The sequence below is a fragment of the Homo sapiens genome, chromosome X (genome assembly GCF_000001405.40).
Source record: "Homo sapiens chromosome X, GRCh38.p14 Primary Assembly".
Classification (NCBI taxonomy): Eukaryota; Metazoa; Chordata; class Mammalia; order Primates; family Hominidae; genus Homo; species Homo sapiens.
Window position 1 is genome coordinate 108,684,094 of NC_000023.11, and position 17,260 is coordinate 108,701,353.

Genomic DNA, 17,260 nt, shown 5'->3' on the forward strand with positions numbered 1-17,260 from the left:
CTCTGGGACACAGCTAAAGCGGTGTTTAGAGGGAAACTTATAGCACTAAATGCCCACAGGAGAAAGCAGGAAAGATCTAAAATCAATACCCTTATATCAAAATTAAAAGAACTAGAGAAGCAAGAACAAACAAATTAAAAAACTAGCAGAAGGCAAGAAATAACTAAGATCATAGCAGAAGTGAAGGAGATAGAGACACAAAAACCCTTCAAAAAATCAATGAATCCAGGAGCTGGTTTTTTGAAAAGATCAACAAAATTGATAGCAAGACTAATAAAGAAAAAAAGAGAGACTCAAATAGACACAATAAAAAATGATAAAGGGGATATCACCACCGATCCCACAGAAATACAAACTACCATCAGAGAATACTATAAACACCTCTACCCAAATAAACTAGAAAATCTAGAAGAAATGGATAAATTCCTGGACACGTACCCCCTCTCAAGACTAAACCAGGAAGAAGTCGAATCCTTGAATAGGCCAATAAAAAGTTCTGAAATTGAGGCAGTAATTAATAGCCTACCACCCAAAAAAAGTCCAGGACCAGACGGCTTCACAGCCAAATTCTGCCAGAGGTACAAAGTAGAGCTGATACCATTCCTTCTGAAACTATTCCAAATGATAGAAAAAGAGGGACTCCTCCCTAACTAATTTCATGAGGTCAGCGTCATCCTGATACCAAAACCTGGCAGAGACACAACAAAAAAAGAAAATTTCAGTCCAACGTCCCTGATGAACATCAATGCGAAAATCCTCAAGGAAATACTGGCAAACCAAATCCAGCAGCACATCAAAAAGCTTATCCACCACGATTAAGTCGGCTTCATTGCTGGGATGCAAAGCTGGTTCAACATACACAAATTAATAGACGTAACCCATCACATGAACATAACCAATAACAAAAAACACATGATTATCTCAATAGATGCAGAAAAGGCCTTCAACAAAATTCAACAGCCCTTCATGCTAAAAACTCTCAATAAAGTAGGTATTGATGGAACATATCTCAAAATAATAAGAGCTATTTATGACAAACCCACAGCCAATATCATACTGAATGGGCAAAAGCTGGAAGCATTCCCTTTGAAAACGGCACAAGACAAGGATGCCCTCTCTCACCACTCCTATGCAGATCATTCTTTTAAGGCTTATTCATTGGAGAACATTTCCCTAGTTCTCCTTTTACATGTCAGAGGTTGTCTCTGACAATAGGAGTCTAAGCAACTAGTAGAATACCAGACCACCACAAGTTCCATTTTCTTTTTTCTTGAAAGTGTTAATTTCCCATGGTTGAATTTCTCTTAGACTATGTCAGGTTACTGTTAGCCCCTCTGGCTGTTCCAATTTGAACAACTAATTAATGTTAGAAAAATTTATAATGAAATGAAAATGCATTTAAGATCTGGTGCTTTCTGTACATCATCCAGCAGAAAGATTGAAGGCTGATTTGGTGGGCTATCAGTTTCCCACTGTGAAGCCCCTTGTCTTTTAAACTAACTGGTGTCTAGCTGGCCATTTGACTCTACGTTTATAGCCAACTTTCATTAATCATTATAAAAGAAAACTAGAACTAACTTCAGTCTTTTGCTCTTATTAAGTGATCAAGTGACAGTCTTATCAAAAACAAAGTATACCTGGCAGTAACTTATGGTGGAATAGAAAACGAAAGTTGGGACTTACATTCTTGTCTGATTCTGAAGACAAAGAGAGCACAACTCCATTAAAAGCATCCCAGAAGCAAATGGATTGTTTAAAACTAAAGCTAAATCCTTGTTGGCTTCTTTGGTCCTGGACTTGAGTTATCTCTTCTTTTTTCTGGATTTAAGACAAAACCAAATTGTGAATTCAGTGTCTCGAGAACCTTATGTCTCCTAGATCTGTCCAGATGTGAAAATATTCTACTCATATTTGAATGCCTCATTCTTTTCCTGTAGGTCCAACTGGCCCTCCAGGAGATCCTGGACGCAATGGACTCCCTGGCTTTGATGGTGCAGGAGGGCGCAAAGGAGACCCAGGTCTGCCAGGACAGCCAGGTAAGACAAGTAAAACATGCTGTTGGTGGAGGGAAAGTCTTTGAGTCTGAGAGACCTCTGGACATAGGGCCTCCACTTAGAGCTGTGAGATCTTCTCTTGATGTTAGCATAGCTGACTGGTGAATGTGGACCTGAGGAAAATAGGAAAGCACATAATAAGGAGATTTGTCACTATCAGAGAAGCATACAAGATTGCTTTTATTTGTGTTTAGAGCAGTGGAAAACTCAGTTAAATTTTCCAAGCACTCACTGTACTTACTTGTTCAGCAAATTTTCAATATGTTGATTTAAATCCCTTGACCATATTGAAACTATTGTGAATATTTCCACATTTGAAAATATCGCAGTAGGCTGTAATTTCTTTCATAAAGAGCAGCAAATATAAATGAACAGTTTAAGTGATTGCCATAGACCTTTAAGAGTCATGGTGAAGTTTCATATTGAGATGATAAATTGATATTAGGAGCATTAATAGGTGCTCCTGATAATATTGAGTCTGGTATCTGTTAGATTTTCAATTTGTACTCAACCTACTTCCAAAAAGAATTTGAGTCAACTTGAAATAAAAAATACTTTAACGTTAAGGTTTCTAAAATAGAAATAGAGGATCATACATTATATATGTTAACAACTCTAGATTATATAAATATGACTAATAAATAAACATAAAGAGTTTGTATTTCAAATATCAGTGGCAACACAGCAGAGTGGTAATACCTATAGCCTTCCTAGAGTCAATGCCCTGACATTTCATTAATGCTATATTTCTAGGGAAATAACAAGTTAGTGTCATCTTCATCACAAGTGTTTCTGTGAAGTTTCCCTAAAATGAAAATTTATACACAGACTGTCCAAAGGCCTGTATATACAGAAAATTATTAAATGAACTCAAACCAAGAGGCTAAATCAGGAAGGGAAGCCAGTGGTGGATTGAAAATGGGCATTTTGAAAATACTTCTTTAGAATGCCCTGCCTGTTCTCTACACAAAAAGGTATGCCTGAGAATAATTCCCCCAGACGGATTCAAAGGAAAATGTTTTTCAGCAATGAAGCTGGCAGATTGATGGCAACCACACCCTTCCTTTCTCATTGATGAACAAAACAGCAGGCTGAAAATTGACCATGGGGTTCAGATTCTTTTAGTACAACAAGAGACTAAATAACATACAGACTCTCCAAATAAGCATATTTTATTTGTCTCCTAGCCCATGATATCTGACAATGCCTTTATAGACACTCTATAAATATCAAATAAATTAACTAGTCAAATGAGGTCATAATGTTTTGTCAATATCCATAAGAGTGGATCAGAGCTTACTTAATCTTGTATACTGATTATTTCGTGGAAATAGGTACCCGTGGTTTGGATGGTCCCCCTGGTCCAGATGGATTGCAAGGTCCCCCAGGTCCCCCTGGAACCTCCTCTGTTGCACATGGATTTCTTATTACACGCCACAGCCAGACAACGGATGCACCACAATGCCCACAGGGAACACTTCAGGTCTATGAAGGCTTTTCTCTCCTGTATGTACAAGGAAATAAAAGAGCCCACGGTCAAGACTTGGGTGAGATAATCAATATCTAATTTCCTACTGTGCCTTTTGTTTTTGTTTCAGAAATCCTGTTGGGTTCTAGAGTAGCCTTGGCCAAAGTGCCTCTCTCTATTCTTTTGGGGCTTCCGAATTGAAAACCATGTCAAAGGCAACTGAATATATTCACTATGATTTTTAAATAAATAATATTTAACCTTAAACTAAAAGCATTAATTAGCTCTTGTGAGGTACAATTCTTGGCCTAAAGCAGATCATTTCAAAAAGGCCACATTTACTTTTAGTTAGATTAGTTATTAAGGGAACAGTTTCCCTGGGCTCTTTGCAGTATAGCAGCTGCTTGAGTGTGCAGTGTTTATAATTCCTGGGAGATACTTACCTCATCTTTGAAACTGGTCTTCATCAAGTTCATAAGTTCTGAAGAGAATCTTGGTTCATAGATCAAAGAAAGTAAGGTCATTGCTTAATTATGCTAGTTTGTAGTTCCTAAAATAAGTGCCTTAGCTTTATAAAGTATTGCTGGAGTCATTTAAAGCTATATAAAGTATGACATTTCTGTACAAAATCCAGTTCATTTAAGGTGTTCCCATGTATCTTCTCTATACTGGGGTGGACAGCTAGGTTGATGGGATGAGGGGACTAAATCACTCTCAAGGACTCTTCCATCCCCATGAATTCTTTTCCTGGAATTCTGACTTTGGATGTTGAAGTCCCATTGTCTTACCTGGGGCTGCATTTTGTTGTTGTTGTTGTTGTTGTGTTGTTTTTTTTTTTGATACGGAGCCTCGCTCTGTCGCCCAGGCTGGAGTGCAATGGCGTGGTCTCAGCTCACTGCTACCTCTGCCTCCCAGGTTCAAGCAATTCTTCTGCCTCAGCCTCCGAAGTAGCTGGGAATTACAGGCGCCCGCCAGCATGCCTGGCTAATTTTTGTATTTTTAGTAGAGACGGGGTTTCACCATGTTGGCCAGGCTGGTCTCGAAATGTTGACCTCGTGATCTGCCCACCTCTGCCTCCCAAAGTGTTGGGATTACAGGCGTGAGCCACCGCACCTGGCAGGGCTGCCTATTTTAAGACTGACTATCCCCTTTGCCTCCATAAAGACATTTAAGAAGATAGTCTGGGCTCCCAGTTTCTGGGATCTCTATGATGAGAAGCTTCCTGAGATCTCATTGTCTGGGCCATTCATTCTGTGGAAATGTTTCTGCAGCAGCAGAGACCCCGGAGGTCAGCTTTACTCCCTATTTTTCCAAGGCATATGGCCACACCAGTTCTGGCCCACCAGGGTAAGGATATTCACTTACATGTAAGTCAGTGGTCATAGGCCATTTTATGAAACCAAATAATGTAAGGGTTTGCCCAATAGCTTTCTTTTCCATCTTCTTTTTTTCTTCCGTTTATATTTCCTTTTTCTCCTTTTCAACTTTCCTCTGCTACTTTTCTTTCTCCTTTTCACTTGGTTACATCTTTTTAAATTTTATAATTGACCAATCTTCATTAAATTAGTAATTAAATTATCTTTCCATAATTTAATCGAATAATAAATATCTAAATAATTAATTTAATTTAATATCTTCAGGTAATTTTCTCTAGTCTTTCTCCTATAAATTTCTTTTTTGTTCATTCTCTCTACACTGTCAGACTTATAATCAAACTTTAAACTTCAAATCCCTAACCTACCAGGTCAACAGAGGAACCATTATAAGTTTTGAGCACTACGAATTCAAAAATGTAATGCAGTTAGAAGATGGAATCTGCTATCAGCATGTAATTATAACTTTTCAGAATCCATGTATTTTCTCTAATAAGAACAATCAGATTTGGAATCTATAAACTGGCCCTGACTCTGGTACAGTTTAGGCCTCAGACACAGGAAGGCCATGACGGAGCCCAAGATCCTAGGAATGGTCCTGGATTGCAGAGGCTCTGCTGGGGCTCACACAAGGATCACATTGGAAGTATCTTGATGACTAAGCAAAGATACAGGCAGCTGTCACTTTGATGTTAAAGAAACAATTACCTCCTGATCGAATAAATGCAGTCTGTGTTGAATTAGTGGAAGGATTATAGGATGTAAGAAAGAAGACAGAGAAGATGGATTAAATACTAAAGCTTTTCTGTCTGGGAGAAAAGAAAAACATACTGAGAACCATTAGTCTATTAAAGTCTTATAACTATGGGGTATAGAGGGCATTGGGAGTATATGGGATCACTCTCTCTTCGAAAATTTGGAGACTATAACCCAGAATTCTGCATCATTGTGGGCAGCCACAGGTGCAACCAGATACTCCAGATACTTCCATCATTATGGGCCTTCCTTTTATTTACCTTTCTTTTCCTTACGAGACTGGATATTTTCAGCTCTGTCCCAAATTAGGCAGTAGAATAGGTTTTTTTAAATTACTTTATAATGTACAAAGCACTTTCATGTCCATTGTCTAATTTAATTTACACAACTATGATTAAGAAAAATGTATATAAATATTCTGCTTTTTCATTTTATACACAAAGAGACTGGCTAATAGGTTAAATAACTTACAGTTAGAAAGTGATGGAGGTAACACCTGCCAATTCTAAATCCATTTCTTTTTAAATTTTCCCATGTTGTTCACTCTTACATGACTGTGAGTCAGTCAGGTTTTTCTTAACGAGTTTTTGAAAGGGATAAATTAGACTAAATCAATGATTTTCAACCTAGGGAATTTTTTAAGACTCCTAGTCTTATGCCAAATCCATTGTATAAAAATTCCAAATAATTCTGATAATACAGGTTTAAGATCTATTGGTCTTTTATCAGTCATCTTCAGTCTGAGATAAGCATACCCCTTTGAATATATGAAGAATTTCCATGATGCACAGAGGCATTATTTTTTAAAAATCAAATTTCAACTCCTCGACTTTTATATGTATTTTCTCCTAAAGTCAATCTGACTTTAGCAGATGTGCTTTGGGCAATCTCCTTTCCCATGTCTCCTTTGTCTCCTTTCACTGTCATGCATTCCCCACTTTGTAAGAGTCATACTCTTGCACATTGCCTTGAAGTATGAAAACCTCTGACAGACAAATTCAAAGGGATAATTCAAAATAACAGCTTTGCTAAAGATACAATTACCGTTAGATCCAGCAATCCCATTACTGGATATTTACCCAAAGGAAAATAGTATATCAAAGAGATAGTTACACTGACATGTTTATTGTAGCACTATTCACAATAGCAAAGATATGGAATCAACCTAAGTATCCAACAAAGGATGAATGGATAAAGAAGATGTGGTATATATACACAATGGAATATTATTCAGCCATATAAAAAATGAAATCATGTCATTTGCAGCAACATGGTTGGAACTGGAAGTCATTATCTTAAGTGAAATAAGCCAGGCACAAAAAAAACAAGTATCACATGTTCTCACGTATATATGGGAGCTAAAAATTTGAACACATGGAGGCAGAGAGTGGAAAGACAGGTAGCAGAGACTTGGAAGGGTAAGTGTGGGGAATGGGGAGGATGAAGAGAAGTGGGTTAAGGGATACAAACATACAGTAAGATAGAAGGAATTAATTCCATATTTGATAGCAGAAGAGAATGACTATACTTAAAAAATATATTGTACATGAGTGATGGACACCCTAAATACCCTGACTTGATCACTATGGATTATATACATAAAAAAAATGTTCATGTGCCCCATAATTTTGCACAAATAAAAAATTAATGGTTTTGTTAAAGTCTCCATTAACTCAAGCTCTGTAATTCACTTTTAATCCAACCTTCTAAGAAATACGTTTCTAATAAAAGTTTTTTTGTAATAATTATATAAAAATTTATAATACATATATTTTTATCAGTTGTGAATTAATAATAACAATGACAGGTCAAAATAAAACATTTAACACGTAAAGTCTTATAGTCACAAAGTTTTAAAAAGGTATATTCAATATTAATTTTTGAGAAATATGATAGCATGATCAATAAAAAACTTTCAAAAATAAAAATATGTTACATTAGGAAAAAACTGTGTGAGAAAAGTGGAATGGAAATATAATTTTTAAATGTAGAAGGAACAATGTATAATTTCCAACTGCTAAAGACAAGTTTATATATTTTCTATAATGGTTAATGTTAGATCTCAGATCATTATATTGGATGCATTTAAAAGAGTGATATAAAAGTTTGTTCTTAGATATCAATATTCACAAAACACCATAAATGAAAACTGGCAAGGTAGAAATGTGGTTTGCAAATTCCCAGTCCCTGCTATTACAAAGTGGAATACCGAAGGGTGGGTGTGGAGCTGAGAGACAATAGCTAAAATCTTAATACTGGCACAGTATCAATTTAAACTTACGATGAAATTTAGATATCAAAACTTTAGATATGTTAACTTTCAAAAGTGTAAGAGAGTGCATTTTTCATCATTCTTTTGTGAGTAAATGAGAAAAGAAAGGCTTGATCACAAGTAAAGATAACCTCTCTTGTCCCTACTAGCTCTGAATTTCAAAGATTAGTTTCTTTCTTTTTTTGGTTTGTTTGTTTTCCCCTCACATCTTTCCTTCCTGTCTTATTTTTTTCCTTTTTACGTATTCTTCAAACCTGACTGTGGTGGCTGTGCACACTGGCCAGCATTACTATTGTCCCTAGGCCTAAGAAGATTGCAGATTCACACAAGATACATACTGAGGAAGTCTTAGAAGAAGAGAGGGCAGCCTGGAGCACGAAATATTGATAAGATATCGTAAGGACTCAGTATGTGTCCTTCACTTGTACACAATGAATTACTAAATATCCTCCATAAGACACCATTGTTTATAAGATGCATCACTAGTTTAAAAACAGCATTAGGGAATATATAATGAGCTACCACAATAAATATTAACATACTTTATTAAACACATCCTAATTTTATAAATGTTAAAATATGAGTAAATCTTAGACTTAAGAAATATAGTATATTTATTACCTATGAAAGGCTGGCAAGTTTCCTTGAAAGGCTGTTTGCTATTGTTTTAGAAGAAACCAAAGTATCATTATCACGCAGTCCTTTACTGTTTTCTCTCCAAATCTTTCTAGGGACGGCTGGCAGCTGCCTTCGTCGCTTTAGTACCATGCCTTTCATGTTCTGCAACATCAATAATGTTTGCAACTTTGCTTCAAGAAATGACTATTCTTACTGGCTCTCTACCCCAGAGCCCATGCCAATGAGCATGCAACCCCTAAAGGGCCAGAGCATCCAGCCATTCATTAGTCGGTAAGGCATTGATTTAGCTGTGACTTTTACCAATCCCCAGTTAGTTAGCTAGTCAGATTTGAGTCCAAAGCTAACAATCTGATGATATTCCTCCTAGGTTAGGTAGAACAGAGGTACCTCTTAATATTCAATTAAGTATTTAGTTTGACTCATATTTATTGGGGGTCTGCTTTTGACCAGGCCCCCATGATAGACATAGTGTAATAGCCAGATAATGCACAGTGTAGTAATTATTTATTACATAAATTTGTCTAATATATATCAGATTTGGGCTAAGTTCTATAATAGATATAATAAAAATGTTATGAAAACATAGGGAAAGAGATGTTTAGTTTCAACTGGAGAAATGTGGGATGGCCATATGGAAAAAATATGTCTTGAACTGGTCAGTCCTTGAATGACTAGAAGGACTTGAGGCACAGGCAGTTATAAAGGGGAAATATACACTAGGCAGATAAATGACAATGGGTAATAAAACAATGTGTCTAGGATGTAGTATGTAAAGGTTATGTTGGGAGAAAAGATTGTAAAGTTAGCTTGGGCCCAGATGGTAGAAGGCCTTCTGTACCAAATTGTAGTTTAAAGTTTATTTGATATGTAACAAGGAGCCCTGAAATATTTTAGAGCTACACTTCAGGTTAGATTATAGTGCCATCAATGTGTAACATGGATTACAAAAGGGATAGTCTCGAGGTAGAGAGACCAGTTGGATTGAAGGGTATTGCTATAGCCCTGATGTGAGTAAATTGGAACTCACAGTGGGGTACATGTATCACATTATTAGGCTAGATAGGATTTGACAGTTGATTAGCTATGGGAAGAAGGTGGTAGCTGAGATTTGGAGCATGAGTAACTAAGAGGAGGGTGATACCATTAATAGAAATCTCTTAGAGTTTTGCCATTTTGAAACCTAGTTTAACTCAATCTCTTAGGAATGTTGGTTATTGCCGTTTTTATTCTGATCATGACCCAGGATTTCAATAACCATAAAGGATGAATTGCTGGAAATTCTCGTTCCTTTGATAGTAAATATAAAGATTAAAGCTGGTTCAGCCTTAGTAGCAAATTCATGGTGCCCTTTTTAATACATTTTCCTGAATCCTTTGGGAATTTGGGTGTATGTGTGTGTGTGTGTGTGTGTGTGTGTGTACAATTTTGTCAGTCCCAACTCTTGGGAGTAAAAGCTTGTCTAAATGTATTAACTATTTTGTTAGGTAAACTGCAAAACTGGCCTCAGTAATATGTCAAGAGGTCCACTCATGTTTTTTATTAAAGATATGGAAGTCTCAGCTATATTCATTCTGTTGCTATCTTACTTGATTTTATAGATTTCAGCCACATCTCCAAGTGCCTGGGTACCTGCCCAGCATTCTGGATATGGTGTACTTCTCCAGATATAGTCAAATGTTTATAAATGTCCTTTGGACCAAGAATAATGAGTAGAGATTGAGAAAGCGTCCGTTTCTTATATTTTCCAGTCTTTCTGACATTGTTCTTACCACAGTTTCAGCATTACTAAATGTCTCCCCTCCAATTGAGTACTTTGACAACAAGTAGTATGTGCAATACACCAAACCAAACTCTTACGGCAATTGAGGCATTGACTATAGCAAGTATGAATAGACATTTAGGGCATAATGGAATATTAAAAGGCCATTGCACTGGTTCTGCAGTTTTTTGAAAAAAGTTTACAGTTTATTATGTATACTGGGAGACAATACTTAGCAAATGCAATCCTCAAAGTGCATTTTTTCACCTTTTGTGATCATTGAAAGAGACATTAATCGGCTTCCATACTAAGAAGGCTTCCAATGAAGCAGGATGGCTACTTCTCACATGCTCACTCTGTAGATTATGTTCCTTCTCCTTTTCCTTTACCAGATGTGCAGTATGTGAAGCTCCAGCTGTGGTGATCGCAGTTCACAGTCAGACGATCCAGATTCCCCATTGTCCTCAGGGATGGGATTCTCTGTGGATTGGTTATTCCTTCATGATGGTATTTTACACTCTTCCTTGCATTTGTCATCATAGCTGACTGTCCATTCCATCTACATTTCTTCCCAATATGAGGAATCCCTGTCATTTGCATAATAAGAAGCTTAAACTTCAAACAGCTTCTATCCAAGCACTGTGTTCCCCCTCACACATTTTTTGTAACATATTTTCATAATCTGCCTATTACTTTTTTTTGACTACCCTTGGTGTGGATACTATTGTCTTACCTCTGGGCCTGTTCCTTCACTAGATTTGAATTTGGCCAAGCTCAGCACACATCTTTGGATATTCACTAAGCTATTATGGCACATGGGTATTGCGGCACATTTTTCCTTGTCTTTTATAGCATACAAGTGCAGGGGCAGAAGGCTCAGGTCAAGCCCTAGCCTCCCCTGGTTCCTGCTTGGAAGAGTTTCGTTCAGCTCCCTTCATCGAATGTCATGGGAGGGGTACCTGTAACTACTATGCCAACTCCTACAGCTTTTGGCTGGCAACTGTAGATGTGTCAGACATGTTCAGGTAAAGTGCTTATAGCTTTAATTCAGGTCCAAAGCTTCCTTCAGAGATGCTAGGGAAGAAAGAGACAATTTATGGATGGTTTATCCTCAACAAATGTTAGGAATTTATTGGATTGTGTACTTTATTCTTGCTTGTTCTTCTCATATACATGACTCAGGTCAGAAAAACAGACTTGATTATTAATATTAGGTGAGTTTGGTTTGTGATAGCTTAGTAGTAATCCTTCAATAATGAAACAGAGATAAAGAAAGGTTATGTGACCTTCCTAATAAGTCAGCAGCTGTTCAACTAGATTGAGACCACCCCAGGAATTGAAGTTACAGTCTGTCTTTTCCCTCTCAGTCCAGTGGTCTCCTTTCCCAGGATATTTTAAAGATTCTCATTTAAGGGTTTGAATGAGCAAGACATACGTAATGTATGTACCTCAGGATACTTCATTCTGTTGATTTTTTTCAGTTTAAATTTATTTTTATGTGTTGCTTTTGGGTTATCACTACTTGGTATTTTTCTTATGGTCCTTGTTATCTATCATAACATCATCAGTTGCCCAGATTTCCCTCATCCTGTGAATATTAGAAAAATGTATGAGAGAAAGAGAAAAAGATAGAAAATGAGAGGGAAACACAAATATACAAAGATAATAGTGGTGGGGAGAATCGTTACAAAATATCTATGACCACTAATGGCTCTTAAACCATACTAGTCACTGCATTAGATCATATTGCTGAAAAGTAAACCATTAAGTCACCAAGAGAGCTACTTAACACACAAAAAATGTTTAGTTATAAATTTGAACCAGTAACAGAATTGAAATACCAGAAAATGTGGATCTGATTGTCTTATTTCTTATTTCCCAGTAAACCTCAGTCAGAAACGCTGAAAGCAGGAGACTTGAGGACACGAATTAGCCGATGTCAAGTGTGCATGAAGAGGACATAACATTTTGAAGAATTCCTTTTGTGTTTTAAAATGTGATATATATATATATAAAATTCCTAGGATGCAGTGTCTCATTGTCCCCAACTTTACTACTGCTGCCGTCAATGGTGCTACTATATATGATCAAGATAACATGCTGACTAGTAACCATGAAGATTCAGATGTACCTCAGCAATGCGCCAGAGCAAAGTCTCTATTATTTTTCTACTAAAGAAATAAGGAAGTGAATTTACTTTTTGGGTCCAGAATGACTTTCTCCAAGAATTATAAGATGAAAATTATATATTTTGCCCAGTTACTAAAATGGTACATTAAAAATTCAATTAAGAGAAGAGTCACATTGAGTAAAATAAAAGACTGCAGTTTGTGGGAAGAATTATTTTTCACGGTGCTACTAATCCTGCTGTATCCCGGGTTTTTAATATAAAGGTGTTAAGCTTATTTTGCTTTGTAAGTAAAGAATGTGTATATTGTGAACAGCCTTTTAGCTCAAAATGTTGAGTCATTTACATATGACATAGCATGAATCACTCTTTACAGAAAATGTAGGAAACCCTAGAATACAGACAGCAATATTTTATATTCATGTTTATCAAAGTGAGAGGACTTATATTCCTACATCAAGTTACTACTGAGAGTAAATTTATTTTGAGTTTTATCCCGTAAGTTCTGTTTTGATTTTTTTTAAAAAACAAACCCTTTTAGTCACTTTAATCAGAATTTTAAATGTTCATGTTACATACCAAATTATAATATCTAATGGAGCAATTTGTCTTTTGCTATATTCTCCAAGATTATCTCTTAAGACCATATGCCCCCTGTTTTAATGTTTCTTACATCTTGTTTTTACTCATTTCTGACTGGACAAAGTTCTTCCAAACAATTCTGAGAAACAAAAACACACACGCAGAATTAACAATTCTTTTCCCTGTGCTTCTTATGTAAGAATCCTCCTGTGGCCTCTGCTTGTACAGAACTGGGAAACAACACTTGGTTAGTCTCTTTTAAGTTACAAAAAGCCAATTGATGTTTCTTATTCTTTTTAAATTTTAAATATTTTGTTATAAATACTCACAGGATACCTTATTTCCCTAGCTATCATCTCCTGACTTAATGTTTTTTAAACCCACCAATATAAATTTAATTAAAGATATATGTTGTAAGGATGGTCTGTTGTGTATCTCTTCAGCCTGTGTGGAAAAAACCCCTGCTCATTTACAGATAGATTACCAATCTGCACATCAACAAGTCATCTCTTCCCAGGGAATCAGTTTCTCCACGCTTTGATCACTCTGTTAGTAGATAGAAAACATAGTAATGTAAACTTTTTCCAATGAAGAAAACTACCTATTGGAAGACATTTCCAAGATAATAAATTTCTTGACAACATTGTGTTAATGGCTAAGAAAGGAAACAACTGGCTTCTATTTGGGGAAGAATTCATTAATAATGTTTAAAGCAGGTTAGTGACCTAATATTCTTAATGATTAAGAATGAACACGCATAGTTCTCTAAAATAGTCAAGGACTGGTTAAAAATAAAATATTAAAAACTTCCATAGTAAAATTTGTGTTACAGCTAAAAGATAAAACAACCAAAACAATTTTGAGTATTCTAAATCCTAATATGGACCTATGTAAAATCTAAAGCTTAGAATCTCTGGTGGTAAAACTTAGGATCCAAACAATGATAACTATCTAATTATTTTATTGATTCTGGATAGCCACCAATCGCAAATTTTAGCTCTATTTTTTCATTTAGTCCCATGCATAAAGTCAGTAATGAGTAATTGTAACTGAAAACACCATATCACAGCCCCACAGATTCTTCTACATGGTGTACACTCAAAGGTGCCCCTTCTGTTATAGTCGCAAACACTAATTCCAGAGATTTTGCTTTTTGTAGCTTTCCCTCTCATTTATAGCTGGTTGAAAGCCTTGGCCCAAAAAGAACCTCCTTTGTTTGTTTGTTTGTTTTGTTTTGTTTTGTTTTGTTTTGTTTTGTTTTGAGACAGTCTCCTCTGTCACCCAGGCTGGAGTGCAATGGCGTGATCTCGGCTCACTGCAACATCCACCTCCTGGGTTCAAGGCGATTCTCCCACCTCAGCCTCCAGACTAGCTGGAACTACAGGTGCATACCACCACGCCCGGCTAATTTTTTGTATTTTTAGTAGAGACGGGGTTTCACCATGTTGCCCAGGCTGGTCTTGAACTCCTGAACTCAAGCGATCTGCCTGCCTCGGCCTCCCAGAGTGCTGAGATTACAGGTGTGAGACACCACGCCCATCCCAGAACCTCCTAATTTTTAAATTGTTGCATGTGCAGCTAGTCTATGTGTTTCTTAAATCTCCTAACTATTCCTAGCCCTGCTTTGTTGTTTGAAGTACACAAATTCATTCCAGGACATTAATATTGTTAACCCTCTCTTGCCATGAATTATTCAAAGATTAATCTAGCTGCTCTACTAGTTACCTATGGTGAGTTTTTTGTGTTTTGTTTTGTTTTGTTTTTGTTTTTGTTTTTTTTTGCTTTTTTATCATCTGTGAAATTTCCAGAAGTACTATGGTAAGTTTTACAGTCATACACAATTAATAGCTTTCTCACATTGGCAGGAAATGAATGAACTATTCTGCTTAATCAGATAGTTTGACTACCAAATATTTATGTGTACCAAATGTGGTTTTACCAGTTAATGAATCTTTCGTGATTCAGATGTTACTTAAGGACCAAATCCTAGTATTTTATAGCTGTGTATGTGTGTGTGTGTGTGTGTGTGTGTGTGTGTGTGTGTGTGTGTACCCACACACACGTGCACATGTATCTTCAGAAAAATTGAGGTCTACATGAATAACTTCCATTATATATATATTACGTAATATATATATACACACACACACATATGGATAAGTGTATACACACACATGTGTTGTGTAAGAAAGTAGACATTCCAATTATTTTTATAGCTTATTGGCCTGATCTTTGCTATGTTGGTGTCACACTCATTGCTTCCAAAGGAGGTTGTATTGGACACCTTGTGATTGTATGATGTTTTTTCCCACCCATCCAAATTTGAACAACACTTTTTCATTCTTGTAGTGGCAATAAGGTTCTTTGCCTCAATGTCATGCCAAGCCATCAAATGCTTATTCAGAAGTTAATCACAAGAGGGCACTATTGCCTATAAAAATGAATCAGCATGTGTAATGATTTGAGCTCATTGGTGGTGGTGGTAGGGTTGTCTAAAGTCCTGTCTCTAGATTCCCTGTTTTAAGTTTCATTTATTCTTTCAGCCTCATAAAAATCATTAGCAAGTACTTGAAGAGGTGGCCTAGTTTCCCAATGTCTGCATCCAAAACGAAGAGAACAGCTTTGCTGTCAAAGATTCTCTTTTGTTTTTTTGTTTGTTTGTTTTTGAGACGGAGTTTTGCTCTTGTTGCCCAGGCTGGAGTACAATGGCACGATCTCGGCTCACTGCAACCTCTGCCTCCTGGGTTCAGCGATTCTCCTGCCTCAGCCTCCAGAGTAGCTGGGATTACAGGCATGTGCCACCACACCTGGCTAATTTTGTATTTTTAGTAGAGACGGGGTTTCTTCATGTTGGTTAGATTCTCTTCTTAAGAGCCTGATTAACAGTTGGTTCTGGTAGCACTTCCCATGCCTCTCAACACAGAAGCAAGGAGCAATCACTTTTGTTTGGCCGGAACTTCAGTTGGTTTCCTTGGCAGAGAAACTCAGTTCTCAGGCTGGACTATACAAACACCTTCATCCCTAGGCAGCTCCAAAATAAATTGAATAATATTTTAAAATCATGTCATTTCCATTTTAGAGCAGTGGTTTTAGAGTATATTCAGGGAGCTTGGAAAGTTTGTTTGGTGGAAATACTCCTAAGTTGGAATTGAATCCAGAGAGGCCTGTCTCCTGAGTTCTATATCAACAAATATTGATTGGATGCTTGTTAGCTAAGGACACCATGAAGGATAGCAATCTAAAATGAACTCAACCTCAACCAGGAGAATAAGCAGTGACCATAATATAGTAAATCCTCACTTCACGTGGTCAATATATTTTTAGAAGCTGTGACTTTAAAGGAAACGATGTCCAATATTATTCAGTTATAATGTTGATGAAGAAAAAATGGATTTGTTATATGTCGTTTAGCTTTAAAGTCAAAGTTTCCAAGAACCTATGGACGTTAACTGAGGACTTACTGTATGTATACTGGAAAAGAGGTATGCTAGTCTGTCTTTGACTACCAAATCTTACTAATTCTAGGCCAGATAATGGGGATTTTTGTAAGAGTAGCTGTCTGGAGGAAGCTGGCTCACCAACCTGTTCCCCAAAACATGGGCTAAAATCACATTTATGTAATCTTAATCATCTATTTCTCTGTTAGTGGACTGCATACCCAACACCTGACCCTACAGGATAACAAATTGCTTACATAATACCAATTTATGCCAAATATCTTCTGTTTCCCCCTCTACCATCACATTTCATCCTGCTTTCTGCCCCAGAGGGTTCCTGAGCCCTCTGGCTTCTGATTGGGTTCAACCAGTTGGAAGTCCCAGCAGAATACCAGAGGAGGGGACAAGAGTTGGGTTAGGGTATTTATTTTCATGGCTCTTTCTCTATGAGGTTACCTCAGGTTGGTTTGTGACTCTCAATTGAATGTCCCTACTGCTCTCAAGATGACTTACTATTCCTAATTATCTTCCTTTCTGGTTCTACTAACCCCTTCTCATGTTTTCAGGTCTAGGTGTGATGGGTATGGTGACAAGTCTGCTGTTGCTGTGCTGCTAGACCTGGATTCCTGAACAACCATTTGTGATTCCCCCTCCACACCATCTATATATTTCTAATTAAACTCTCCTCAGATTATCCTAATTTAAGTGTGTTGTACTTTTGTTGTTGATACTCCAACGAATACTCAACACTTCTAGTTTCCAAAATCTAGAGAAAGTGCTTTATTTCCATAT

General features: G+C 36.8%; 1 protein-coding gene across 6 annotated transcripts in view; it reads left to right on the forward strand.

The window, feature by feature from the left end:
- COL4A5 (collagen type IV alpha 5 chain) overlaps positions 1-13,452 on the forward strand; it is a 257,708-nt gene extending 244,256 nt beyond the window's left edge. For all 6 annotated transcript variants that reach the window (XM_047441810.1, NM_033380.3, NM_000495.5 and 3 more), the window contains 6 exons: positions 1,938-2,036; positions 3,389-3,601; positions 8,655-8,832; positions 10,714-10,828; positions 11,174-11,346; positions 12,204-13,452. In XM_047441810.1, the coding sequence (XP_047297766.1) occupies positions 1,938-2,036; positions 3,389-3,601; positions 8,655-8,832; positions 10,714-10,828; positions 11,174-11,346; positions 12,204-12,285 (860 nt within the window). In that variant the 3' untranslated portion in view covers positions 12,286-13,452. The remainder of the gene's footprint in view (positions 1-1,937; positions 2,037-3,388; positions 3,602-8,654; positions 8,833-10,713; positions 10,829-11,173; positions 11,347-12,203) is intronic.